The 26287-nt window shown below is 41.0% G+C and overlaps 1 protein-coding gene across 15 annotated transcripts in view, besides 1 other annotated feature; it reads left to right on the top strand.

Annotated features, from left to right (window-relative positions):
* The window catches only part of ATP10B (ATPase phospholipid transporting 10B (putative)), a 366241-nt gene that overhangs the window by 270463 nt on the left and 69491 nt on the right, over positions 1 to 26287 (top strand). For 9 of the 15 annotated variants that reach the window (XM_047416995.1, XM_011534468.3, XM_047416994.1 and 6 more), the window contains 5 exons: positions 9642 to 9727; positions 14654 to 14760; positions 18306 to 18437; positions 22589 to 22716; positions 24292 to 24544. In XM_047416995.1, the coding sequence (XP_047272951.1) occupies positions 9642 to 9727; positions 14654 to 14760; positions 18306 to 18437; positions 22589 to 22716; positions 24292 to 24544 (706 nt within the window). Of the gene's footprint in view, positions 1 to 9641; positions 9728 to 14653; positions 14761 to 18305; positions 18438 to 22588; positions 22717 to 24291; positions 26275 to 26287 lie in introns of those variants that run through there. The other 6 variants (NM_001366656.2, NM_001366654.2, NM_001366653.2 and 3 more) reach the window with 2 other exon arrangements.
* Positions 13738 to 13893: a silencer, noted in NCBI's record as "fragment chr5:160072012-160072167 (GRCh37/hg19 assembly coordinates)". NCBI's record gives its function as "represses an EF-1alpha promoter that drives an FKBP-Casp9 reporter gene in an ReSE screen in HepG2 liver carcinoma cells {active_cell/tissue: HepG2}" and the evidence as "EXISTENCE:reporter gene assay evidence [ECO:0000049][PMID:32094911]".

The raw sequence follows: 26287 nt of genomic DNA, 5'->3' as shown, positions 1-26287 counted from the left end.
ACAAAAAATTAAATTTATTAGAAAAATATGGGGTGGGTTGGACCTCAGGTTCATGTGGAATGAGGGCTTCAGAATCCATCAGTATGATGTCCATCTCTTGTCTATGTTTCTTGTGATATGTTTGGTATGAATCTTTCAAACCAACTTCCTTCATGTGGAATGAAACGTGGTACCAGTAGTATTTGTGCTTTATAGCTTAACCCCCAGAGAGGGTCTAGCAACCTTCCCTGATGTCTAGATTGAAAAGCATCCTGGGGAAACGTACTGCCTGGCCTGGCTGGTACAATGTACCCATTCCTAGACAAATTAACTCTGGCCAGAAACAAAGGACTCTGTGATTGGCATCCTCCACTTGAACCTCATGTTTGAAATTGGTCTGTGGGGTGTGAGAGTTCTGAACAGCACAGCAATAAATATCCATTATATCTATGACTCATCAGAAATATATAAACCTAACTTATGTGTGACCATGGTCGTTCATCCTTAAGGAAGGGGGCTTAATACCCTCTGTCTCTCTCCTATAGTCCCTAGTGTTATTCCTCTTCCCAAAAAGCCCTTCCCTTCTGACCTCTCTCTGCCTAGGCAACACTCTGACCGGTGTCCCACAGGTAATCACTCCTTCCTCTGTGCTCCCATGGACTTTGCTCTTGCCACTCTCAACTATTATAGTCCGTTCAATAAATTCATTTACTCAACCACCATCTGATGAGGTCCTCCTGTTGCCAGACACTGTACTAGGATCTTTGTTTTGTGGTTTATCAGCAGAGGTGACACATTGTGATCATATCTCTCATGAACAACTTAATATAGTTTCTTGAACTGAAACTCATGCTTTCTTCTTTGTGAATTTTTTTGCCAAAACATGAGGTACAAAGTGTTGGATCTCATATCATCTTCTTGTGTTTCAGTTATCCACAGCAAGAAAGAATTTGTACAGAAAAGTTTGTCTGTGTAATACTCCCTTAAGGTGCCACTGGCCATCTGATGGCACCTGCCCATATTTCAGGCATCAGACCACTCACACATTCATTCATCAAGTATTTATTAAAAGCCTTCTATCTGCCGGATGCTGTAGCATGCTCTGGGGACCCAGAAGTAAACAAGAGAGATACAGGGTGCGACTGCATGCCCTTACAGGGAATTACACAGACAATTGTTAACAATTTTGCCAACAATTAGTTCCTTTTAGAAATGACAGAAGAAATCATCCTATTTCCAGTATTTGCTTGGCATGCCAAGCCCATGCCCTGTATGTTCAGGAAATGCCATAGCAAGATCTCAAGATTACTTTTAGTCAGCCCAACTGGGAAACAGAATATTTGTCCACTTGACAAAAGGGAACTCAAACTGTAAAAAATCCTTAAGATAGTCTCCCTCAGAGCCCTCCAGCCCAATCTGCCTGCTTTTGTGGGAGAATCACTAGGGCAGGCAGGGACCTCTAGAGTGATTGAATATGCAAATGATTTCCTCATCCAGAGCCAGAGGAAAGTAACTGCCAGTCACTCTGTTGTGGGTTATCTTGAAAAGAACCTTCACCTACCAGGAAGCAGAAAGGTTATCAAATGCTGGTAACTGTCATTAGTTTTCAGATAGGATTCTCAGAAATCAGAGGGTTGCTTAATTTGTATACCAGGAAGAAAACCTCAATCACCTAGCTCAGCAGCTGGGGCGTGAAGAACATTTGCTTTCACCATTTAGACAACTGATAACTTAAAATGAAAAAAAAAACTTTAGTGTTCTTCCAAGGTTGCAACATACCTCCTGTGTAGCTTCCTTGGTTGGCATGGTTTGCCTACCCTGTAACCCCTATTCCTTGGCACAGTCAGCTGAGCAGTCCACACAGGACGGTCAGTGCCGCCATTTTGCTATCCTTATCCCCAGGTTGTGGTGGCTCTCCTTGGTATTCCTTTAGCCTGGGAATCATGTAGAAACAGACACCAAGAGTTTCACAGAAGCATGGCAGTCACTAATCCAACTCGTCTTTTTGGTAAACATTCTTGACTCTTGGTAAAAACTAAATACATAAATGATTTCTATGTTTGAGGAAAGAGTTTTGTTGGTTTCCCTTTCTTCAATCGACAGAATCTTTCGTGAATGATATTTCCTAATGGACACGGAGGGATTTCAAAGTGGTCTAAGATGTTCTTCTAACCCTGTAAGAACTTTATGCCTATGGGTTCCATTTAAAAAAAAAAGACCCTTTGTGACTATAAAAAAAAGAGGTTGTCCTTTCAATGTCCATTATTTAAGAATATATATTAAAACCAAAAGCTACAGTGAATCTAGTGAAGTGGTAAATGAAATTTTAATTTATTAATCTCAATAATTCCTTTGGAAATCTGAAAGATAGTGGTACATGCATGTGTGAGACTTATTTTTACTCTGTCTATAGACAGCATTTGGGAGCATACAGGGGATTTGTAGACAAGATGCAGTAGCTTAATCTACCAATCAGGAACCACTAGCTTACAGAAACAGCTTGGTAGCAGGAATTACTTAACAGTCTCCTTCTTTCTTTTCCTCCCTTGAGTCATTCCACTCAAGTCAAAGCCCCACAGTGGGAGTGTTTAATGGGCAGGGCATCACGACTTAAATTCCCATCACAATTATAAACCAGAAAGGAAAGGCAGTTTCCCACAAGAAAGCCAGAAGTTTACAGAAAAAGGATGAAACAGAAGATGGGTAGCCAGAAAACAGCTATCCATTACAAACAATTTCAAAAGATCATTCATATATTTATTTAATCATGTGTATTGATCAATTCGATCATTAATTGTAAAGACTTAAAGGAAATAAGCCTAGAAAAGTAAAACTTGAGGCAAGCGCAAGGGAAATGGCCTATTCTAGCTAATGGAATATATTCCAGCCTGAGATGGCAGGCTTGCTGTACCTGGGACACAGGTGAGTGAGGAGGACCTCAACCCCGGGGAGTGATTACGCCCTGGCACCAGGCCCACTTTCCTTCGCTCTCAAAGATACCGCTATTGACACATCTGAGCCGGACTGGGAACTTTGAGTTGTCTTATGGCTGCAATCACTGATTTGTGTTAATCACCCCTTTCTTCCCTTGATTCTCACTTACTGTCCCACATGACTCCTCTATCATAGATAGTAAATAAAAGCTTGAATGCACGCATGAATGAACGGAAGACTAGACTGGCCCAATGTGGGATCTAGGACTGTGACTACATTTTTTATTTGTTGAGCCAAAGAAGTCCCATAAAAGAAGGGGTCTTACTCCCATCAATCAAAGTTAAGACTGTACCTGGGGCTTTTTCTACGGCATGAGTCAGCCTTTACAGTGAGGTCTGCTTTGCATCTCCTCACCCATCACCTTTCAAAATACACACTTCTAATATCACCCTCTCCATTACTAACCTTACCTCAACACATCTTTATGGTGTGCCTGCAAAAACAAGGTTATTACAGGAGATGCCCCAGAGGAAGATGACAGTCTACCAGAGGATGCACAGATCTAGGCAGAGATGTTCAATGGAAACAGCAGCAGTGGTGGCAGCACATGAAAAGGAGCAATTCTGATTGGCGGGGGTGGAACCTTCTATGGGGATTAGAGTGAGCTTCATAGAGGGAGTGGCCAAAAAAAAAAAATTTAAATGCTTAAAAATAAAAATTATCAAAAAAATGTCTTCTAGGCCAATTAATGCCTTAACTTTAACCCTTACCCTTTGTAGGTACTTTAAGATGCAAATGTGCTTGGAAGAGGTAACACATTGCACTGCTTATTCATTATAATTTTTGTATATTTTCTACTATAAATTAGAGAATGTATTCATTCATTAAGTCCTTCAGAGGAATTGAGTAATGAACATAGAAAAGAAATAGGGCCAAGAGGAGAGCTTATAAATACTCATCTTTCCTCTGTGCATCCAAATAACACTGTGGTTAAGGAGCAGACTCTTAGGGAGTGAGCGATGCTAAGGTTAAAGCCTGTTGTCCGGCTTTGCTGTCTGGATGGCACTGGGAAAATCACAGATTTTCCCTAAGCCTCAATTCCTTTATCTCTGAAATCGGGATAATAATGGTACCTACCTGATAGAATTATTGTCAGAATCAAAGAAGATGGCATGTATAAAATACTTAGTTGATTCTTAGTACACAACAAGCATTCAATAAGTGCTGCAGAATAATAATAACAGGAGAGGAGGAATAAAAGGTGATGATGATGATGATGACGATGACGACAATGACTTTGGAATCTGACGATGTGAATGGCAATCCTGACTCTGTTACTTACCAACCATGAGACACTTTAGTCTCCATCTGCATGTCTGTCCAAACCTCTTAAGGTTTTTGTGAGAACTTTATGACAGGTGTCTGGCACATAGTAAGTGCTCCAGATAGGTAGGTCTGACCTAAAGAGCTGCAGAGACACACACTCTTCTCTGGAAAGGATTGGTCTTTTCCTGTGTCTTAATGGCTCCCTAGGCCTTTTGCTGGAAAGCAAGACTTTCATCAAAGGGCAGTGCCTTAGATAAAAGGCTGGGTCAAGAAGAAGTGTCCAGTTAGGCGAGCTGCTTCCATAATCTAAGAAAAACTACAGGGTAGTGAGAGGACATTACACCGTCTCACAAGGGAATCAGAAACTCCTGAACAAGGTTAAAATAAGAACCCTGGCCAGGCACGATGGCTTACACCTGTAATCCCAGCACTGTGGGAGGTTGAGGCAGGAGGCTCGCTTAAGCTCAGGAGTTTGAGACCATCCTAGGCAACAGAGTAAGACCCCCATCTCTATAACATATACATACACACACACACACGTATTTATATATGTATATACGTATATACAACATATATTTATATGTATATACGTATATACAACATATATTTATATATGTATATACGTATATACAACATATATTTATATATGTATATACGTATATACAACATATATTTATATATGTATATACGTATATACAACATATATTTATATATGTATATACGTATATACAACATATTTATATATGTATATACGTATATACTACATATATTTATATATGTATATACGTATATTAATATATATTTATATATGTATATATAATATATATGTATATACGTCTATATAATATATATGTATATACGTCTATATAATATATATGTATATATGTATATATTATATATATTTATGTATATGTAATATATGTATATATAATATATATGTATATATGTATATATTGTATATGTATATATGTATATATGTATATATAATATATATGTATATATGTATATATAATATATATGTATATATGTATATATAATATATATGTATATATGTATATATGTATATATGTATATATGTATATATGTATATGTAATATATATGTATATATGTATGTATGTATATGTAATATATGTATATATACTACCTATGTATATATGTACATATGTATATATACTACCTATGTATGTATGTACATATGTATATATACTACCTATGTATGTATGTACATATGTATATATACTACCTATGTATGTATGTACGTATGTATATATACTACCTATGTATGTATGTACGTATGTATATATACTACCTATGTATGTATGTACGTATGTATATATACTACCTATGTATGTATGTACGTATGTATATATACTACCTATGTATGTATGTACGTATGTATATATACTACGTATGTATATATACTACATATTTGTATGTATATATGATATATAGTATATAATATATTGTATATATAATATATTGTATATATAATATATATTATGTATTTATAATATATATTTATGTATACATAATATATACATGTATATGTTATATATACACGTGTATATATAATATATACACTATATATACATAAATATATACATAATTATATACATAAATATAAATATATAAATATATAATATAAATATATATAATATATAAATATAAATATGTATGTATATATTATATATACATGTATATATAATATATTATATATACATGTATATATAATATATTATATATACATGTATATATAATATATTATATAATTATATATATATTATATATATTATATATAATTTATAATCTTTTTATAATATATATTATATATAATTAATATATAATATATTATATAATATATTATATATTTTTATATATATTTATATTTATGTATATAATATGTACATGTATAGTACATAAATATATGTATATATTATATATAAATTATATATGTATATATTATTTATACATATGTATTTATATATGTATATATAATATATACATATATAATTTTATTTTATAAAATATAAAATTCGTCAGGTCTGGTGGTGCACGCCTGTAGTCCCAGCTACTCAGGAGGCTGAGGTGGGAAGATTGTTTGAACCCGGGAAGTCGAGGCTACAGTGAGCTGTGATCGCACCACTGCACTGCAGCCTGGGTGACAGAGTGAGACCCTGTCTCGAATAAATAAATAAATAAATAAATAAATAAATAAATAAATAAATAAGAACCCTGACAGGTTTGTAAGGCTCAGCAGTTCTCTGTGTCTTGAGCTGGCCCAGCAGCTGCCCTGGAGGGAAATACAGCAAATTCTTAAAAGCAAGCAGGGCCTCAGTGGTTGTCTTTGCAGCCAGCAGGACCCATATGCCCCTCTCCACAGCCCCTCTTCCTCCAACTGAAGAAGAGAGCCCAGGGGACAAGTAGCTAGAAAGAGCAGGGTCACCTTTTCATGAAAAGAGGAAGATGGGGACAAAAGTCCTGTGCTCAGCAGGAAAGGAGACACAGCAGGAGGAAGGGACATTTCAGGAGGGAGGTGGCTAGGAAGCCCCAACAGAGGAACAAGAGTCAAACTTCACCATTGCTGGGGCCCGGCAGGTGTGATTAAACAGGCAGCAGGGACTCCGAGGCATTACAGAAGGATCATTAGTGCTCAGACCCCACTGCCAGTCATATCTGAAATGAGTTTGGATTTAGAGACCCACCACTGAGCTGAGTGGTGTGGATCAGGAGTGAAGCACATGACTTAATCAGGGGCATGAAAGCAGCTGACAAATTACAGCATGATTTGTCATCATCTTGGAGCTCAGCAAGTGTTTGTCCCTGAAAGAATCAATACCTGGAGGGAAAAGGGCCATATTTTTAGAAACTCCTGGATGGGTAATTTATTTCAAGTGAGTAGAGAGTTTATTTATGTTGGCACCCCCTCAAATCCAATGGACAGTATATTTACACGAAGCCAGAAAATGCTATCATTTCTTTTAATCAATTTACCCCTTTGAACAGCTGTACCTTGAAGCTTTCAGTGATAAACTCACGCCCTTTGCTAAAAGCTCTACCCAGGAAACCATCTCCAATCCCACCTTTACCACTGCTGCCTTCTGTTTGGGTGGAATGTTACATGTTTCAACACTTTAACACATAGATTCTGTTTTTTGAGGCACAATTAAGATGGGCAGGGCAGGTGATGTTAGCCCCATTCTACAGATGAAGAAACGAAGGCTCATGAGTTGAACGTAGGATTAGTCAATGTAGAGGAGAGTCAGAAAGCAAGATCTCCCCACCTCAAGTTGTGTTTCATCCCCATTGGACTAAAAGAGTTTGTACAACAGAAATGCCTTTAAAAAAAATACTTAGCTACAAGACTGTTCACCAGGAAGCAATGTGCTGAGTAAGTAAGGAGTAGAGGGTCTGCAGGTGAACTTGAATTAAAATCCCAGCCCATGAGATTTAAATAGGTTTGACCATGGGGAGCCTTCTTTACCTTTCAGTCACAGATTTCCCATCTCTAAAGAAAGGCAAATTAAAGCTCCTACTTCATAGAATGACGGTAAGCTTGAAAATAAATAATAAAGTTCTTATTACAGTGTCTGGCAGAAATAAGTGTCCAGTAAATGCTATTTATTTTGCTCTATTAGCTACTATTTTCACAGCATTTTTATAACAGCAAAACAAATTGAAACACTATACCTATTAAATGGTGAAACGATTAAAGGAAATATGGTCAATTTTGCTCCTGGACCAAACTGAGGGTTGGGCTGCTATTTCTCGTGGCCCAATAACAAGATGCAGATGAATTGGGGAGGAAGAGAGTTTTTATTTCTCTAACCAGTTACAGGGAGAAGGCCTGGAAGTTATTGCCAGACCAACTCAAAGTTACAAAGTTTTCCAGAGTTTATATACCTTCTAAGCTATATGCCTACGTGTAAGTGTGCATTCATCTGAAGACATAAGTGATTAACTTCTTTTAATCTATAACTAAGGTCTGGGTCCTGAAGACCTACTTCTGGAGCCTCAGTAAGTTTAATTAATCTAAATGAGTCTAGGTGCTGAGGTGATTACTTTATCTTGTCTCCTGACAAATCATAAGGATTTGGGGAGTTCCTTTAGACACCATTAAACTTGTTTGTGGAGGCCTGGGGAGTTTCTTCAGACCACCAATTAAACTTATTTCATCCTGAAAAGGGTCCTGATAAGAATTCCTTCATTATCCTCTCATGCTTCAAGTCCCAGGAAAAGCCTAGGCAACCTTGGTGGGATCTTTGTTACATTCCAGCCATTGTATAAGGACACTGGCTCAATCAGCTTTTAATGTTTAATCTAGCTACTCAGTGCTGGGACAGTTGTAATGAACACTGAATCTCGTTGTTAAAATGTGTAAATACACATGTATATACCTACACAAATATATGTGGGTGTGGAGATATATATATGTGTGTATATGTACATATGTGTGTATGTGTGTGTGTACATGTATATATATATGTATGTATATATATGTATATATATGTATGTGTGTGTGTGTGTATATATATATATATAAAATTTTTTTTTTTGAGACAGAGTCTTGCTCTGCCAGGCTAGAGTGCAGTGGCGCGATCTTGGCTCACTGCAACCTCCACCTCCCAGGTTCAAGTGATTTTCGTGCCTCAGCCTCCCGAGTAGCTGAGATTAGAGGCACACACCACCATGCCTGGCTAATTTTTGTATTTTTAGTAGAGACGGGGTTTCACCAGGCTGGTCTCGATCTCCTGACCTCAGGTGATCTGCCTGCCTCAGCCTCCCAAAGTGCTGGGATTACAGGTGTGAGCCACCATGCCTGGCTAATGGATATATATATTTAAAACCCTGGAAATATTACATGCGCAAGCATTTTAGCTGTGGATATCTCTATGTGGTGTGATTTATAATGCCTTCTTTTTAATTATCTATTTCTGTGGTATCGAATGTGATAACCACTAGCCACATGTAGCTATTTAAGCTTAATTAAAATCAAATTAAATTTTTTAAGAAAACAATTCCTTAGTCAAACTACCACACTTCAAATGCTAAATAGACACATGTGATTAGTGGCTTCCATACTGCACAATGCAGACTCAGAACATTCCATCATTGCAGTAAGTTCTATTAGATCTGGGCTACAGCCCCACACCCAGGCAGGTCAGAGAAATGCAATCAGGGTAATCACCTCCCTCTGCCCTGCATCAAACTTTTCACTGGCATTTGCTTTCTCTTCCTTAATGAGGACTTAACTTTTTTTTCTGACACATTACAACTATCAAAGTGTGACAAAGCATGGATTACCTTATTTGCAATGGTTCTAACAGTGATTAGCTCTCCCAGTGATCCTATTAAAACTAGATCCCTCTGAATTAATAAACTCACAGAGTCCTCTCTCTCACAGGAGGTACAGTTCGAACCAGAGCTTTTCCACAATACCATCGTGTGTGAGAAACCCAACAACCACCTCAACAAATTTAAGGGTTATATGTAAGTATCTCATGTCCCATGCTGCTAGTAAATATCTCCGCTGCAGCTAGAAAATATATTGTCTAGAAATGACCAAACAAATAAGCATCTTCATCCTGAGGAATTTTATTTGTGTGTGTGTGATAAAGAGGGACTAGAGAAATTTAAATTGGGAAACTTTTTCTATTTTTTTTTTTTTGCTGAGTGATAGTTATTTATGTTGCAGGGTTAAATTCACCAATGTTGTTAAAAAAAAAAAAAAAAACCTTAGTAAAATAGCATCAAAATCAAGATTGTGCTCTGATTCAGGAAGGTGAATATGATTTAATTAAGATCAATTTTTTAAGTGCCTATATTGCATTGTAGGTAAGAACAGGGACTTTGGAATTGGACAGATCTGGGTTTGAATCGGGGTTCTGCAAATTACAAGCTGTATGACCTTGGGTAAATTAATTCACCTCTCTGAGCCTGTTTCCACATCCATAAAATAAAATTATAATATCTATATCAAAGGGTTTTTCTTTTCTAAGATTGTCAGCATACACAAAGCCCTTAGCACAGCAACTGGCAGAGAGGAAATATTCAATTAACAGTGGCTCCTGCTATTAGGATAATTGTTATTCTTATTCCTCAACTTTGGTTCAGCCTAAGCATTTTACTGCAATTCTGCTCCCTTATCAGACCACTAGTCTTCCCACAAAATAAGAGCCATAGTAACAGATGTGAGTAAATGCCCTTATACGATGCTTTTCTACAGGGGTGTCCAAACTTCTGGCTTCCCTGGGCCACATTGGAAGAATTGTCTTGGGCCACACATAAAATACACTAACCCTAACAATAGCTGATGAGCTAAGTAGTAATAATAATAATAATCTCATAATGTTTTAAGAAAGTTTATGAATTTGTGTTGGGCCATGTTCAAAGCCACCCTGGGCCACATGTGGGCCATGGGTTGGACAAGCTTGCTATAACAGTTTTCAGAGGACTTCTAGAGAACATTGTCATGTGTAATCTTCACAACAACCCCAGAAAGCGAATATCGTGATGTGGATTATGATGATCTGAGACTTTATAGATGCAAAGATTCTCCCTAACTCACAGCAGGAACAAGACAAAGCCAGGACTTATATGGGGGTCTTTTGACTCCAACCCCAGTGTGCTTTCCATAGCCGTACATTGCGGAGCTCAGCCATGTTACACCAATTTCTCCACCAATAGGGCCTGCAGCTCCCTGAAATGCAGTTGTCTTTGCTTTCTTCCACCCACATGTCCTCAGGCCATGAGGGATATAATGAGGAGAAATAGAAAGGAGAAACAATAAGAAGAATACCAGAGAAACCATAGCTTTTATAGGCAAATTACTTTTAAAATACACAGAGCGAGCAGAAGGAGACAAGCAGAGAAGGGCCTGAGGTCCTGGGGAAAAGGCCTTTGCTGCAAAGGAGGTAAAGCCTGTCACCTGCTCTGAAGAGAAGGGCGCCCCTTGTGCCTTAGGTTTGTGAACTTGATTCATCCCAAATCCCTCACGCCTTGAGTCACTCTCCATATCCTCTTAGAGAACAGCCTCATTGTTAGATTTCTGTTTAGGACCCTTTCTCCCCAGAACAGCTCAGGCTAACAGCCAGCCTTTCTCAGCTTTCAACCTGCTCCAGCCTGCCCCTCTCAGACGGATTTCAGGACAGAACTCTCCCAGCTTCACTCAGCCCCCAGCACCTCCTCTTCCTAGTTGCTGCTCTGGGAGACCTGTCCTTCCTCCACATGACTGGGCCTCATGGATGAGTCCTAAAAGTCCAGTTGGACTGCGGAGTAGCTAACCCATGGAATGAAGGAGAATTCCTTGCTGTGCTCCTACATCCTTGCTGTACTCAGCAAGAACACCCTCAGGCCTGGCACCCACAGATGGTCTCCACCTTCTTCCTGAGCAGACCCACTGGTCTGATGCCTCTGGGTTTCCCAGAAGCTTCTGTGGGTTCCGTTAATTTAGAAGCTCCCTGAGGCTGCACAGGCTGGCTAGAAGATCAACAGCTTTCAATGATCTGTTTGAAAGTTAGGGTGTCCAATTTGAAAATGCGACTTTTGAATGAAAGAATCTCTACAGAGCAGTGGTTCTCAACCAGGGACAATCACCACCAACAACAAAACCACCCCTCCAACCAGGAGACATTTGACAATGTCTAGAATCATTTTTCTTGCCACAACTGGGGAGGGGTGCTGTTGGCATCCACTGGGTAGGGGCCAGGGATGCTACAATGCACAGGACAGCCCCCCACCCCAGCAGAGAATTGTGTAGTCCAAAATGTTCATAACACCAAGGTTGAGAAATGCTGGCCTATAAAAAGTATAATAGACCATCCTTGTAAACCAAGAGCGCTAAATAGACAACAGCTATAAGATAGCAAATCCTTTTCTACCATTCTTTGAAAAGGAACATTACAACCGAGAGAAGTAGAAGCCTCTCTCATATGCTATCACTTCAGAACATCCTAAAATTATTCTTGAAACCACAAGCTACTGACAGTGAGACAAGCAAGGTTCATTAGCCCAGTATTAAATCCACAGCCAGCCTCCTCCTTAATAAACAGAAGGAGCAATGGTGGGTCCTGAACCTCAGACATTCTTAGACCACCTTTATGATTTTTATCATATTCAGTAAAATCTATTTTATCTACCAGATTTTTAATTACCTTACTTTTTCCAAAATTTATTTGAAAAGGAAAATTTATATCACTGGGCCCTATGGGAAACCAGGATCACTTACTATACTTAAGAGGTAAAAATTAATACAATGAAATCAAAACAGTTATATTCTAACTATTATTTGCCATAGCATCCTTTGCTTTAAAAAGTAGGATAGACAAACATTAGAATAGGGTCAAGAACATACTAGCAAGAAATGAAACATCCTCCTTGACATATTCAGCAGAAGTGAAAATAGAAATGACTCTGATTTAGTGTGGGTGAGTGGGGTAGTACTTTAGGTACCCTAAGGTAGTGAAAATCTCAGTAGGGTGGGTGTCTGTGACCTAGATTCCCTGGTCTTAGGATGTCTCATGTACTAGTTGTATAGCCTTGGAAAAATCTCAGCCACTCTGAGCTTCTACTTTTTCATAAATAAAAATAATCATCCTACTAACTTCCCAGACCACAAAGAGTCAAACAAAATCATGTAAGTAAATGTAGTTTATAAACACAGTGAGGAATCATTAGCATTAAAAGGCATATTGAGTGGCAGTATAGCACTCTGGGGCCAGACTAGTTTTGAATCCCCATTCTGCCACTTCCTGGCTTTATGAACTTGCCTCAGTTTCCCTATCTGTAAAGTGGGTATGATAATAAGCCCTGTCTTATAAGGTTGTCATGAGGCTTCAGTGAAAAAGGCTTATAACTGGACTTAGCGATAAGAAGTATTGAAGAACAACACGTTTAAAAAAGAGCTCTAAGAGTTCGGATTATTATTTTTTTGTTCTCCCAAATAGGTTTGGAAAGTTATATTTAAGCTTGCTGAAAATCTCAAAGGAACGGCATCAGGATAGAGTAAAGGCCAGACCCCAGGTCATAACTAGAGTTGATTGGACTCAGAAGTTTCTAGTGTGAGGTGGAAAACTGCAATGCTCCCTGGACTAGAAGAAAGAAGAAACTATCTCTACTTTTAGGATCTGCCTCCCAATAATTTGGGCAAAGGGCCACTCCTGTGAGGTCTATTTTATGAGCTGTTGAGCAGGTGAAAGCTGGTACAGGAAAGAGGCCGAGTGAGTGATGTGGCTCGGAACGAGAGGAACCCATGACCTGCCCTTCCTTACTTTACCATTCTTACCTGTCCCCTGTCCCCTGTATGAAAAGCAAGACTACCTGGAGGCTCCCCTTGGAAGTTCACCTTCTGCAGTTCAGGTCCCCAGAAGCTGAATGACAATGAGCATGTGAACACTGCCAGTCCTTGTAAGGCCAGAAGCCAGTTCCCTTGCACTTTTGTTTGCTTATTTGTTTTTTAAAGTGACAGGAAGTTTATTAAGAAAGGGATAAAAGAAGGGTAACTCCATAGCAGAACAGCCCCTTGCCCTTTTTTTTTTTTTTTTTTAAGATGGAGTCTTGCCCCGTAGCCCAGGCTGGAGTGCAAAGGAGCAATCTTGGCTCACGGCAACCTCCGCCTCCCGGGTTCAAGCGATTCTCCTGCCTCAGCCTCCCAAGTAGCTGGGATTACAGGCACCTGCCACCATGCCTGACTAATTTTTTGTATTTTTAGTAGAGACGGGGTTTCACCATGTTGGCCAGGCTGGTCTCGAACTCCTGACCTCATGATCCACCTGCCTCGGCCTCCCAAAGTGCTGAGATTACAGGCTTGAGCCACTGCACCCGGCCCTACTGGTTGCCCATTTTTATGGGTGTTTCTTGATTATATGCTAAACAAAGGGTGGATTATTCATGAGTTTCCTGGGACAGGCATGGATAATTCCCAGAGCTGAAGGTTTCTCCCCTTTTTAAACCATATAGGGTAACTTCCTGACGTTGCCATGGCATCTGTAAACTGTCATGGCTCTGGTGGGAGTGTAACAGTGAGGACAACCAGAGGTCACTCTCATCACCATCTTGGTTTTGGTGGGTTTTGGCTGACTTCTTTGCTGCAACCTGCATAAAAACATTTTGAATATGAGAATTGAAGCCAAGGCTTTTTCACCAGAGTTCTGCCTTTTATGTTGGTAAATGGGACAATTTTCTCAGGGTGGACAATTCCCTTCTAATGGTCTAGCTCCCACCCAGGCCTCCTAGGAGCAAAAAAGAGATCTACCCTTGAACATGAAGGAGATTAGATTCTCAGCTACCATCACTCTTCTGAAAAAACAGGGAGGAGAGGGATCATGTTCACTCACCACTTCTAGTTCTGTGACAGTACCCAGTGACAGCAAGGAAAGGCCACCAAACCACCCCCTGTCTTTTATTCATCATCCCCAGGGAGCATCCTGACCAGACCAGGACTGGCTTTGGCTGTGAGAGTCTTCTGCTTCGAGGCTGCACCATCAGAAACACCGAGATGGCTGTTGGCATTGTCATCTATGCAGGTCATTGTCTGGGTAGTTTCTTTTGTCTGAATTTTCCTTTATCCTTCCCCCTCCAAATCCATCTTCAGTCAATGGGAACCAACAACTGTTCACAGTAACTTCCCATTTACTCATGTAACTTCCCATTTCTCAACTAAGCAAACGGAGGCTGGGAATCACAGCAGTTCACTCACTCTACAGGAGACATGATGAGATTCCAAGTTAATATCACCCATCTGCACTAGATAGGGAAAGGGATTCACACTCAATCATCCCGGTGGTTTTGTGCTACTAACTAAAGCCAGAATGAAGTGTATCTTCTTAAGCCTGTGGAATAACCTCACCAAACTTAACAACTTCCCCTTTGGAGCCTCAATTTCCTCATTTGTACAGTGGGGAGAATATTTGTATCTGCCTCATAGAGTGTTTGTAAGGATCAAATTACTCAGCACATGAAAAGCATCCAGCACTGCCTATAGCAAAGAGAGGGCTCAGTGGGTTTTAGTTGTTTTTGCAGTTATGTTTTTACTATTACCTTTATTTATTTTATGGCTCCATATATGGAGGCCTATCTCTCCTTCCCACTTTGATCCTGCTTTCCAATGAAAAAAGATAATAGCAGCGCTTCTCACAATGGAATCTAAAGTCTTGGAGGGCAATCTTGGAGCTGCTGTATCTCTAGTACTTAACACCAGTGCTCGTAGGTACGCAACGCACCTGTTGTTACATGAACACCTGAAGACTTCAGCCACAACAGAGGAAACATGGTCTCTCTGGAGCATCTACCTTTGCTGGAAAACTCCAGAATGTGTTTTCTTCTGAGTCTTCCACTCACTGGGACACTTTGGAATAGTTTGCTTATTGCTTTTTTGTTTGGTTTGGTCTCCATAGAACCCCACTTCTGATGGACATAGAAAAGCATTTAAATATCCATCTACCATAAGATTTACTCTTTGGGATTGTCAAAGAAAAACAGGTCTTTTTAAACATAATGTCACGATTTAGCTAGCTTTCCCTAATTTGGGAGAGGGGGATTATATTTGTCAGTTCAGATGACTTATTTCGAAGATCTTTAGCAATGGAGTTCAACACCATCTGGTAAACCTATTAAAAATGAACTCTCCAGCAATCTCCACTGTACCAAAAAAGAAAATGGTAATCATAATCACATAGATTTAGAGCTTTGCTTCTCTGCCTGAACAGAAATAAAGAAGAAACCTTGAGTAGGTGATGGGAGTGGTATATAAGGTGGCAGATATGGAGTGTTAACCATGGCTCCAGCTAGTCGGGCTGCCTATGGGTAAAATCCATTCATATTCTGCATGTTCCTGAACAGGATGGTTGAACTTTCAGTGCAAGAGGGACTAATAGTTTCTACCTTGTAGCTTTATAATGTTAGAATGAGATTATCTGTGAAAAGGGCCTAATACGACAGTTGGAATACATCAGGCCCGCAAAACTATGAGAAAGAAGATACCAGTTGTTTTTAACATTATTATCTAGAGCTGGGGTTCTCACCTTTGGCACCATTGACATTTTGGCCCATATTATTCTTTGTGACGGGGGCTGTCCTGTAGGGTATTTAGCAGCATCTCTGGCCTCTACCCACAAGATGCATTAGCACCCCCCACCAAGTGAGATAACCCAAATTTCTCAAGACGTTGCCAAATGTCCTCTGGGGAGTAAAATCACTCCTGGTGAGAGCAATGGTCCAGAATTCTCATTTCACCCTTGACATTATCAACGGGTAAAACAGGGCCTCAGAGTCAAAGGCCCAAAAAGGCCAAGGTGAGATTTACAGAAGAAAGAGGTCCAATGTAGAGGTGTGTGCTCCTCACAGCAAACACTGAGTCCCAACTTACCAGAAACTAATTTAGTACTTTGTGTGTATTGATTTATTTTCCCACTTCATACACCACAATCATCTCCCATTTTTTAGATGAGGAATTGAAGTACAAAGAGGATCACTCACCCAAAGTCACATGCCTCCTGAGTTGAACTCTATGCAACCCAAGGTCAAGTATCCACAGAGCTGAGCTCCGACTCTAGAGCCCACACTCTTATCCACTGCCCCATACTTCCTCCCCTTGAACCCAACTCTTTCCAAAAGAACAGAGGGGTCTCAGAAGGCAAGGATCAGGTGGGTGAAGGGGATAGTCCCAGGATCCCTGAATGGAGTGAGGCTGAGAGGCAGGCAGAAATTCTACAGGCCCAGGAGTACTGCTGGAACCCCTGCTCACAACTGCAGCAACTTGAGTCTAATTTTAAAAGCCTAGAGTTTTTTTGCTCCTACTGTTTTGTTGCTACTTTAAATCCACAAGACAACCAGCTAAACAGCATAAAAGCCGTTTGCTTCTGGAGCTGATGTATTGGTTTTCTTCAATTTTGCACAGAAAATATGCAACTGATGTGTTTTTCATTTGACTGCTGAGGAGTATGGCACTGTAGTTAACATTCAGCAGCCCCAAAGGAGAGGCTCTGTCTAAAGACAAAGTCTCAGTTTGACTCTTAGCTCTTAGGTGTGTGATCTTGGGTCCCAGGGGTTGGTGAAAGGAGAACTACACTGGCAATCTGAATCTTGGGTTCACAATGTGACTCTGACATTGACTTATTCTTTCACTTTGGGCAGATCCTTTTTACCCTCTAGCCCTCAGCTTCCCCTACTGGAGAAGAAGGTGACTGGGTGAGATTGGTAGTTTTCAAACTTTGTCATCCTTTCTTTAACCAAAATTGTATGCAAAACTTCAACATAGGAGTGGAGCTGCCCAGGGTTAGTGCTGGGGTGGGGACCTTTGGTCCCTACTACTCTTGCTCAGGCAACACCAACAACTTAGGCATGACCAAAGAAACAAATAGGGAAACTGCTGGTCCCAGGCACTGTCCTACCACAGGGCTTTTGCATATACAGTTCCCCAGCCTAAAACTCTGCTGCCAACTCTGCTTTCCCTTCAGGCCTCCCTTCAATGTCATCTCCTTGGAGCAGCTTTCCCTGAGCAGGCTCTCCAACACCACCTCTTTTCCACCTTGGCCTTTTGTTTACTGTATATTATTTATTTCATAGGACTTATTAATAATGATAATTATCCCTTCTGTCTTCTTGTATATCTTCAATAGAATGTGAACCCTATGTCTTGCCATTGTATCCCACTGCTAGCCCATAACAGGTGGAACAGAACCTTTGTGCAAATTAGGAAAAGACAGCCCTTCTTTAAGACAGCTTACTATCATTTGCCAGAACTCTGTCCATAATAAACTTATAAATCTTTGGCAACTACAGAATGAGGGCTACGCTCTAAAGTTGTACAGGGCATAGCCTGTGCATGGGAGCTCTCTCAGTGCCCACCACAGTGTCTGGCATGCATGAAGGGGATGCTCACTGAGTGCCTGCTGGTAAATTATGTGAGGCCCCTACAGCTGTTCTCAGCAACCTTCTGAGGCGGGGCAAGTTCAGGTTAAAGAGTGAAGCCTCTCTTTTATCTTAAGCTCCTGTGAGAAGAGCTGAGGGAATGGTGTAAGACATAGGCAAACAGGAACTAAGGGACTGATTTCCTCATTTTCTCTCAAAGGCCATGAGACGAAAGCCATGCTGAACAACAGTGGCCCCCGGTACAAACGCAGCAAGATTGAGCGGCGCATGAATATAGACATCTTCTTCTGCATTGGGATCCTCATCCTCATGTGCCTTATTGGAGCTGTAGGTATGGGATGTTCTGGAAAGAACAAGGACACAGTAATCGATTTATTTGGGCAAGTTTCTTCAGCTTCCTCATTTATAAAGTAGGGCTAATAAAATGTAAAGCCTACCCTGCCCACTTTAACGGGATGCCAATGAAATGAAAATGCAAGAGAAAATCTCCTAAAAGTAGTATGTGTTCTTTAACTATTCAGAATATCATCTGATATTTATTTGGTCAAGAAATATTTACTGAACACAGGCACTCTCGTAGCATGGAATGAAAACAAGACGAATCAGACTGTATTTGTTTCCCATTGCTGCTGTAAAACATGAACACACAGTCATTTAGAACAACACAAATTTATTCTGTTACAGCTCTGGAGATCAGAAGTTCAAAATCAATTTCAGTAGGTTAAGGCAGGAGTCTCAAACCCCTGGGCCAAGGGCCAGTACCTCCTGTCAGATCAGTGGTGGCATTAGATTCTCACAGGAGTGCAAAACCTATTGTGAACTGCACATGCAAGGGATCTAGGTTGTGTGCTTCTTATGAGAATCAAATGCTTGATGATCTGTTGCTGTCTCCCATTATCCCTACATGGGACCATATAGTTGCAAAAAAATAAGCTCAGGGCTCCCACTGATTCCACTATGGTAAGTTGTATAATTATTTTATTATATATTACAATGTAATAATAGAAATAAAGTGCACTGTAAATATAATGCACTTGAATCATCCTGAAACCCCTGAAACCATCTCCCCCTCCCCACTGACTGTGGAAAAATTGTCTTCCGCAAAACCAGCCACTGATACCAAAAATGTTGCAGACCACTGCGTTAAAGTCAGGGCATCGGCAGTTCTGGTTCCTCCTAGAGGCTCTGAAGGAAGGCTCTATTCCTTGTCTTTTTCCGTTTCTAGTGGCTGCCTATAGTCCTTAGTCTGTGGTTCCTTCCTCAGTCTTCAGAGTGCACCACCCCAATCTCTGCCTACATTTTCCTCTCCTCATCTGCAGCAGTAGCTCTCCCTGCCTTTTACAAGACACCTGTGATTACATCATTGGGCCCACCTTCATAATCGAGATACTCTTCCCATCTCAAGATCTATGACCTAATCCTATCTGCAAAGCCCTTTGGCCATATAAGATAGTGTATTCATAGGGCCCCAAGGATTAGGATATATCCTGGGGAGAGAGGGGGTATTATTCACCTTACCACAGATATTATGGGAGCAGCAATGAGGAAAGTCTTTCTTGAAGAGGTAGCTGCTAAAGCTGATTCTCAAGTGGAGTAGACATTTGCCAGAGGAGGAGGATGGCAGAGCCAAGTGTAGGGGCTGGATGTGGCAGGCAGCTGTGAGCAGAAAGAGAGAGGCCACTCTTAGCCCCAGGAAAATCACAAAGCACAGAGGCAGGAAGGAAAATGGTTTTGTGCAGAGGAGCAGTTGGCTGTTGGATGTGGCAAGAGTAAGGCCAAGAATGGAGACCAAAGCTGAGCCAGTCTGTGGCCCGAGCTGAGTGAGGAGCACCATGAGAGGTGGAGACAGGAGTGATCTGGAGCCCTTTAAGTTGATCCTCAGAGTGTAGATAAAGAGGGGCCAAGACTCCCCACTGTCTATGGCCTTATTCTAAAAATGATTCTCAGGATGCTAAAGGAGATCTCAGAAAGAACCAGGGACAATCAAGAGAAAAACTCATGTCCTGAGTCCAGAAATATGCAGACCCGAAACCAATGAGCAGCAGTGGTGTTTGCTGTTTACTTGCATTAGTCAGAAATCGTAGCCATTGCTGTTGTTAGAAAGATGGTGTCTGAAAGGCTGAGAGCTTCATAGGGGCTCAGAGAGACTTTGTGTGCCACTACAGTGATGAAGATGGGATTGAGTCTTGTGGGTGGCCTGGAGTTCCCAGGTATGTCTAATAGCACTCCACTTGAGGCTGGCTCACAGCTGTAAGGAGAGCACCTGGGGGAGGGGAAGCAGGGAAACAAGAAAGCCATTGTCCCCGCTCCCACCCTCTCCCCAGCCCATTTGGCCACCTGTGTCCCCAAGATGCTGCAGGAACTGTTGTTTCTGCTTCAGGACAGGTTTTTCAGGGCATATCAGCGTGAAAAAGACATTTGAGATCATCTCACTGTGTCTCCAGAAAAAGAAAGTTAATGATTAAAAGGTCACAGGACAAGATAAGGCACAGGGAAACCAGAATCTGCTTGGCAGATTCCCCAAAACAATAAAGAAATGAAGAAAGTTCATGAGGAGGGTCAGAATTCTATTCTGAATTAACAACTCATACACAGGACTCTGATGATGCCTAATTAAAGCACAGCCCTACAGAAGATGAAAGCTCTCAAATGAGCACCATTCCACAGTTCTTGACCACATGTTTACTTTGATTTTGTAAAGGTGGTGTTTCTTCTTTCCTCACCAGAATACTCTGCCCTGGCCCTCCTGACCATCCAACACGTGCTGGGGCTCCAGGACCCCCTCAAGTCCTCCTCATCCATTCAGCCTTCTCGGGCTTTTCCCATACTTGTCTTATTCCCTTAAAGGCCAGTGGCCCTTACTCTGTGCCATGTGTTTTGTCCTTAGTCATCTGCTTTATAACAGTACCTTCACATAAATAGCTTCATGTCTGTAAGTTTCCTTTCTTCTGTTAGGTATGACGGCATTTGGCCCAAACTCCTGGGCAAGGAAGCATCTTTAGGCATTGCAACATCCTCTATGCCTTTTATTCTCTATACTTCTTGGAGCTGAGAGCATTTTAAACATTAGATTATTCTATTTTCACAATAACTCTATAGAGAAGGTATTATTACTATTTAACAGACAAGAACACTGAGATTTAGTGAGCTCTATAACAGGTGCTGGATGCACTTCACCTTACATAATCCTCAGATAATGCGTGTTGTTATCTCCTTTGCAGATAAGGAAACAGAGTTCAGTCTGTACCTGGTGCTGTTGCTATGGGCTGTCACAGCATTCTAGGCTCTGCTATTGCACCTCTCATACTGTATGTGATTTGTCCTTTTATGCCTGGCTCCCTAATTTGGAAGCAAACTCCACAATGACAAGAATTAGTACTAACTTCTTGAATTAATCAATGTCAGACAGAGGGAGGGATGAATGGGTAAACATAGATGGATGGATGGATGAATGGATGGATGGATAAATGGATGGATGGGTAAGTAGGTGGGTAGGAGGGTGGATGGATGGATGGATAAATGGGTGAGTATATGGAGTATATGGATGGATGAATGGATGAATGGGTGGGTGGGTAGATGGATGAATAGATAGATGAATGGATAGAAAAACTGATGAATAGAAGGATAAATGGATGGACAGATGGATGGATGGATGGATGGATAGATGGATAGATGGGTGAGTAGATGGGTGGATGGATGGGTGAATGGATAGAAAGATGGATGGATGGATGGATGGATGGATGGATGGATTCATGGATGGATGGATGGATGGATAGATGGATGGATTGATGGATGGGTGGGTGGGTGGATGGAGGGATTGATGGATGGATAGATGGGTGAGTAGATGGGTGGATGGATGAATGAATAGATGAATCTATAGAAAAATGGATGAATGGAAGGATGGATGGATAAATGGAAGGAAGGAAGGAAGGGTGGGTATATGAGTGGGTGGATGGAAGAATTGATGGATGGGTGGATGGACGGGTGAGTAGATGGGTAGGTGGATGGATGGATGAATGGATAGATAAATGGATAGAAAAATTGATTAATGGCAGGATGGATGGGTAGATGGGCATTAGATGGGATAAGAAGGGGAAGACTAGGGGACAGGTCTCAAGGCTCCCTACCCATGCACAAAAGTGTGCACCACAGAACAAAAAAGAACAAGTATTTCTTTCTCTCTTTCCAGCCCCTATTTAACAAGACTTAATCAAAACAGAAGTAATCCTCATGCCAATCTCCTCTTGTAAAACAAACTTAATGCCTATCAAAGGATTGAAATGTATACGAAGAACCACTTTAGAGCAACATGAACACATGCACATACACAAACACACACACACACAGAGCTACATTGTATGGAAGAAGGAGGGGTCCTCCAAAGCACACCCATTTCTAGGAATGTGTCAAGGGCTGGTATAATTGACCAACTTTAGGACTTAGTAGAGATTCAGCCTCATTCCTGGTTTTGCCTCCTCTCAGGTCACAGCATCTGGAATGGGACCTTTGAAGAACACCCTCCCTTCGATGTGCCAGATGCCAATGGCAGCTTCCTTCCCAGTGCCCTTGGGGGCTTCTACATGTTCCTCACAATGATCATCCTGCTCCAGGTAGGAAGCCCTCCCTAACTAGGGGCCCAATAAGATATGTGGCCAAAACTCCTACAACTTTGTAAAATAAAGAAAAAACAGTGCTGGCCACTAGAAAGTACAAACTGGATTGAGATGAGGAGATGGTCATCGCTTTCTTGTGCGTCTTTGAAAGTATTCACATTTTGGGTGATTTAAGGACCCAGCCCTGCCTTGTGGAGGGGACTCTGCCCCCAGATAATAGCTGGAGGGAAATATTTATTAGCTTTTCTATTTAAGATGACAGCAGTGACCCATATGTGCCTGTCCCTTTGCCAGAACAGATAAAACATGAATGATCTAGGAACAAAAGAAGATAAAGTAGCACAGTGAGCGACAGAGAACTCTCTGCCCCAACATTGAGAGAGAGAAATCACGAGTTAGTGTTTTAACATTTGATACATTGAGAAGGAAAAGAACAGAACTGGCCCAATATAGGACAGAAGAAAAAAGTGAGACAAATGTGAGACAGTAATTGATGAAGAGATGAATTTTAAAACCTTCGTGTCTCTAAGAAAATACAATCAATGAAAAGATGAGGGAAGTTGTAGTTTTCCTTTTGTGGAGCTCCATCTACCATTTCTTGTAGTATTGGAGGATGTTTCATTGCCCTCTTATTGGTGATTATTTTCCATTCATCTTGCAGAGTAATCTATTTTAAATGCGAATTAAATCATACCCCTCCTATGTACAGAATCCTCTCATGGTTTCATATCCACTCAAAGTGGAATCCAAAGTCCTTACTGTGGCTGATGAAGCCCTAAGTGATCTGGACCCTGACTCCCTCCCTGACCTCCCCTCGCAGCCCTCTCCCCCTCCTCACTCACCTGCAAGGCCTGCTCCCTATTACTCCCCAAACGCCACCCCCACTGCCAGGCCTGTGCCTGGCTTTCTCCTCTGCTCGGAACACTCCTCCCCCAGATAACCTCACAACTCACACCCTGACTTCCTCATATCTCTGTTCAAAGGTCATGGTTTACAAGCATCCCACCCAGCCATCAGTCTACCCTCTTTTCTTTATTCTTCCTCATGCAACTTACCACCACTCATATATATTTATTTGTTTGTTCTTTGTCACTGGAAGGCAAGTTCTTCAAAGCCAGGAATTACGTTCTGTTAACTCCCATTTCCAGGACTTAGAACAGCATCAAATGCACAGCAAGCACTTGGTAAATATGAGATATTGAATCAGTGGGGAGAAATTAACAATAGGTCTGAATACCTATAAAAGCGGGCAGCAGCCCTTGGTGGCACAGAGATCTAAAGGGAGTCAGAGGACTCTAAACAGAGATGCTAAGTCTCTCTCACTCCCTCCCAGCTCAGTCACAGACAACCAATGGTGACTAGACATCCCTGGTCAAAGAAGACATACCTGTTTTTCAGATTCCCCTAAGAATTCCAAGGGATGCATGAGGTCATTGACCGTTAATTTCACAGAGAGTCTGTCCTGTGAGCTGACCTCAACTTTCTATGAAATGCCTTTGCTACCTGCTAGTGAGGATCCCAAGGGAGGGAACCTGCCTGGTTTCTGAATGGTAGAAACTCATCTCTTTTCAGGTGCTGATCCCCATCTCTTTGTATGTCTCCATTGAGCTGGTGAAGCTCGGGCAAGTGTTCTTCTTGAGCAATGACCTTGACCTGTATGATGAAGAGACCGATTTATCCATTCAATGTCGAGCCCTCAACATCGCAGAGGACTTGGGCCAGATCCAGTACATCTTCTCCGATAAGACGGGGACCCTGACAGAGAACAAGATGGTGTTCCGACGTTGCACCATCATGGGCAGCGAGTATTCTCACCAAGAAAATGGTATAGAAGCTCCCAAGGGCTCCATCCCTCTTTCTAAAAGGAAATACCCTGCTCTCCTAAGAAACGAGGAGATAAAAGACATTCTCCTGGCTCTCTTAGAGGCTGTGTGGCATTTCCACAAGTTGCTTCCTGTATCCCTGTGGTCTTCCTTGTCACAGATCAGGGCTGTTCCAATTACTTGTAAACTTTCATTTGTTTACAAAGGTTAGAAGTTATCCCATATGTGGTTCCCCTTCAGCTGATCTTTGTCTGGTGCCAGACAAAGCACTTTATGAGACGAGTTTTTTATCTGTCAGCAATGGATTGGAGACATTTCCCAATTGTGTGCCAGTCACACAACCAAGGCTTAGGAATTTCTCAGGCCACCTTACCTGACATGTCAGGGCAGGTCTGTGTCTAGGTGCATGGTCAGATTTAATACATCCAGAAGATGTCTTCTATTCTAACAGATCTCTTAGCTTGTCACTGAGGCAAAGTTTTGATTTAGGAGATAGGGCTATAAAATGCCTGGACTGTTACCTTGCATGGACTGAATATGACTCATAAAACTGATCTGATTCCTTCAGCCATCATCTGCCCAACTTCGTTCCCCTCCCCACCCCCCCACAACACACACACACACTTTCTAAGAAAAGAAAAGAAATTCTTTTTTTTCAATACTTTAAGTTCTGGGATACATGTGCAGAATGTGCAGGTTTGTTACATAGGTATACATGTGTCATGGTGGTTTGCAGCACCCACCAACCCATCATCTACCTTAGGTATTTCTCCTAATGCTATCCCTCCCCTAGCCCCCAACCCCCCGATGGGCTCCAGTGTGTGATGTTCCCCTCCATGTCCATGTGTTCTCATTGTTCAATTCCCACTTATGAGTGAGAACAAGCAGTATTTGGTTTTCTGTTCTTGTGTTAGTTTGCTGATGGTTTCCTGTTCATCTGTGTCCCTGCAAAGGACATGAACTCATCCTTTTTTATGGCTGCATAATATTCCATGGTGTATATGTGCCACATTTTCTTTATCCAGTCTATCGCTGATGGGCACTGGGGTTGGTTCCAAGTCTTTGCTATTGTGAACAGTGCTGCAATAAACTTACATGTGCATGTGTCTTTAGTAGAATGATTTATAATCCTTTGGGTATATACCCAGTAATGGGATTGCTGGTCAAATGGTATTTCTGGTTCTAGATCCTTGAGGAATCTTTGTCTTCCACAATGGTTGAACTAATTTGTACTCCCACCAACAGTGTAAAAGTATTCCTGTTTCTCTACATCCTCTTCAGCATCTGTTGTGTCCTGACATTTTAATGATCACTATTCTCACTGGTGTGAGATGTTATCTCATTGTGGTTTTGATTTGCATTTCTCTAATGACCAGTAATGATGAGCTTTTTTTCATATGTTTGTTGGCTGCATAAATGTCTTCTTTTGAGAAGTGTCTGTTCATATCCTTCACCCATTTTTTGAAGAAAACAAACTCTTAAGAGAGAAGTATTCATTCTTTTGAGTGTGAGGGATGGAGAAAGAGAAAGATGGAGAGAGTATTATAAGCAGCTGTATCCCCTTTGCCATGGTGATAGCAGACCATTCACATGGGAGCTTCTGGTCTCTTTGTAATAATAATAAGAGCCACATTACCAGTACTTAGAGTATGCTAGTTATTTTAACACATTGTATCATTAAATCTTCAAAACATCCCTATGAGTTAGAAACCTAAAAAAAAAAAAAAAAAAAAAACCTCTGAGGA

This window comes from Homo sapiens, chromosome 5 (genome assembly GCF_000001405.40).
Source record: "Homo sapiens chromosome 5, GRCh38.p14 Primary Assembly".
NCBI lineage: Eukaryota > Metazoa > Chordata > Mammalia > Primates > Hominidae > Homo > Homo sapiens.
The sequence above is the reverse complement of the archived record's forward strand: the minus strand, read 5'-3'. Positions and strand labels throughout refer to the sequence as shown.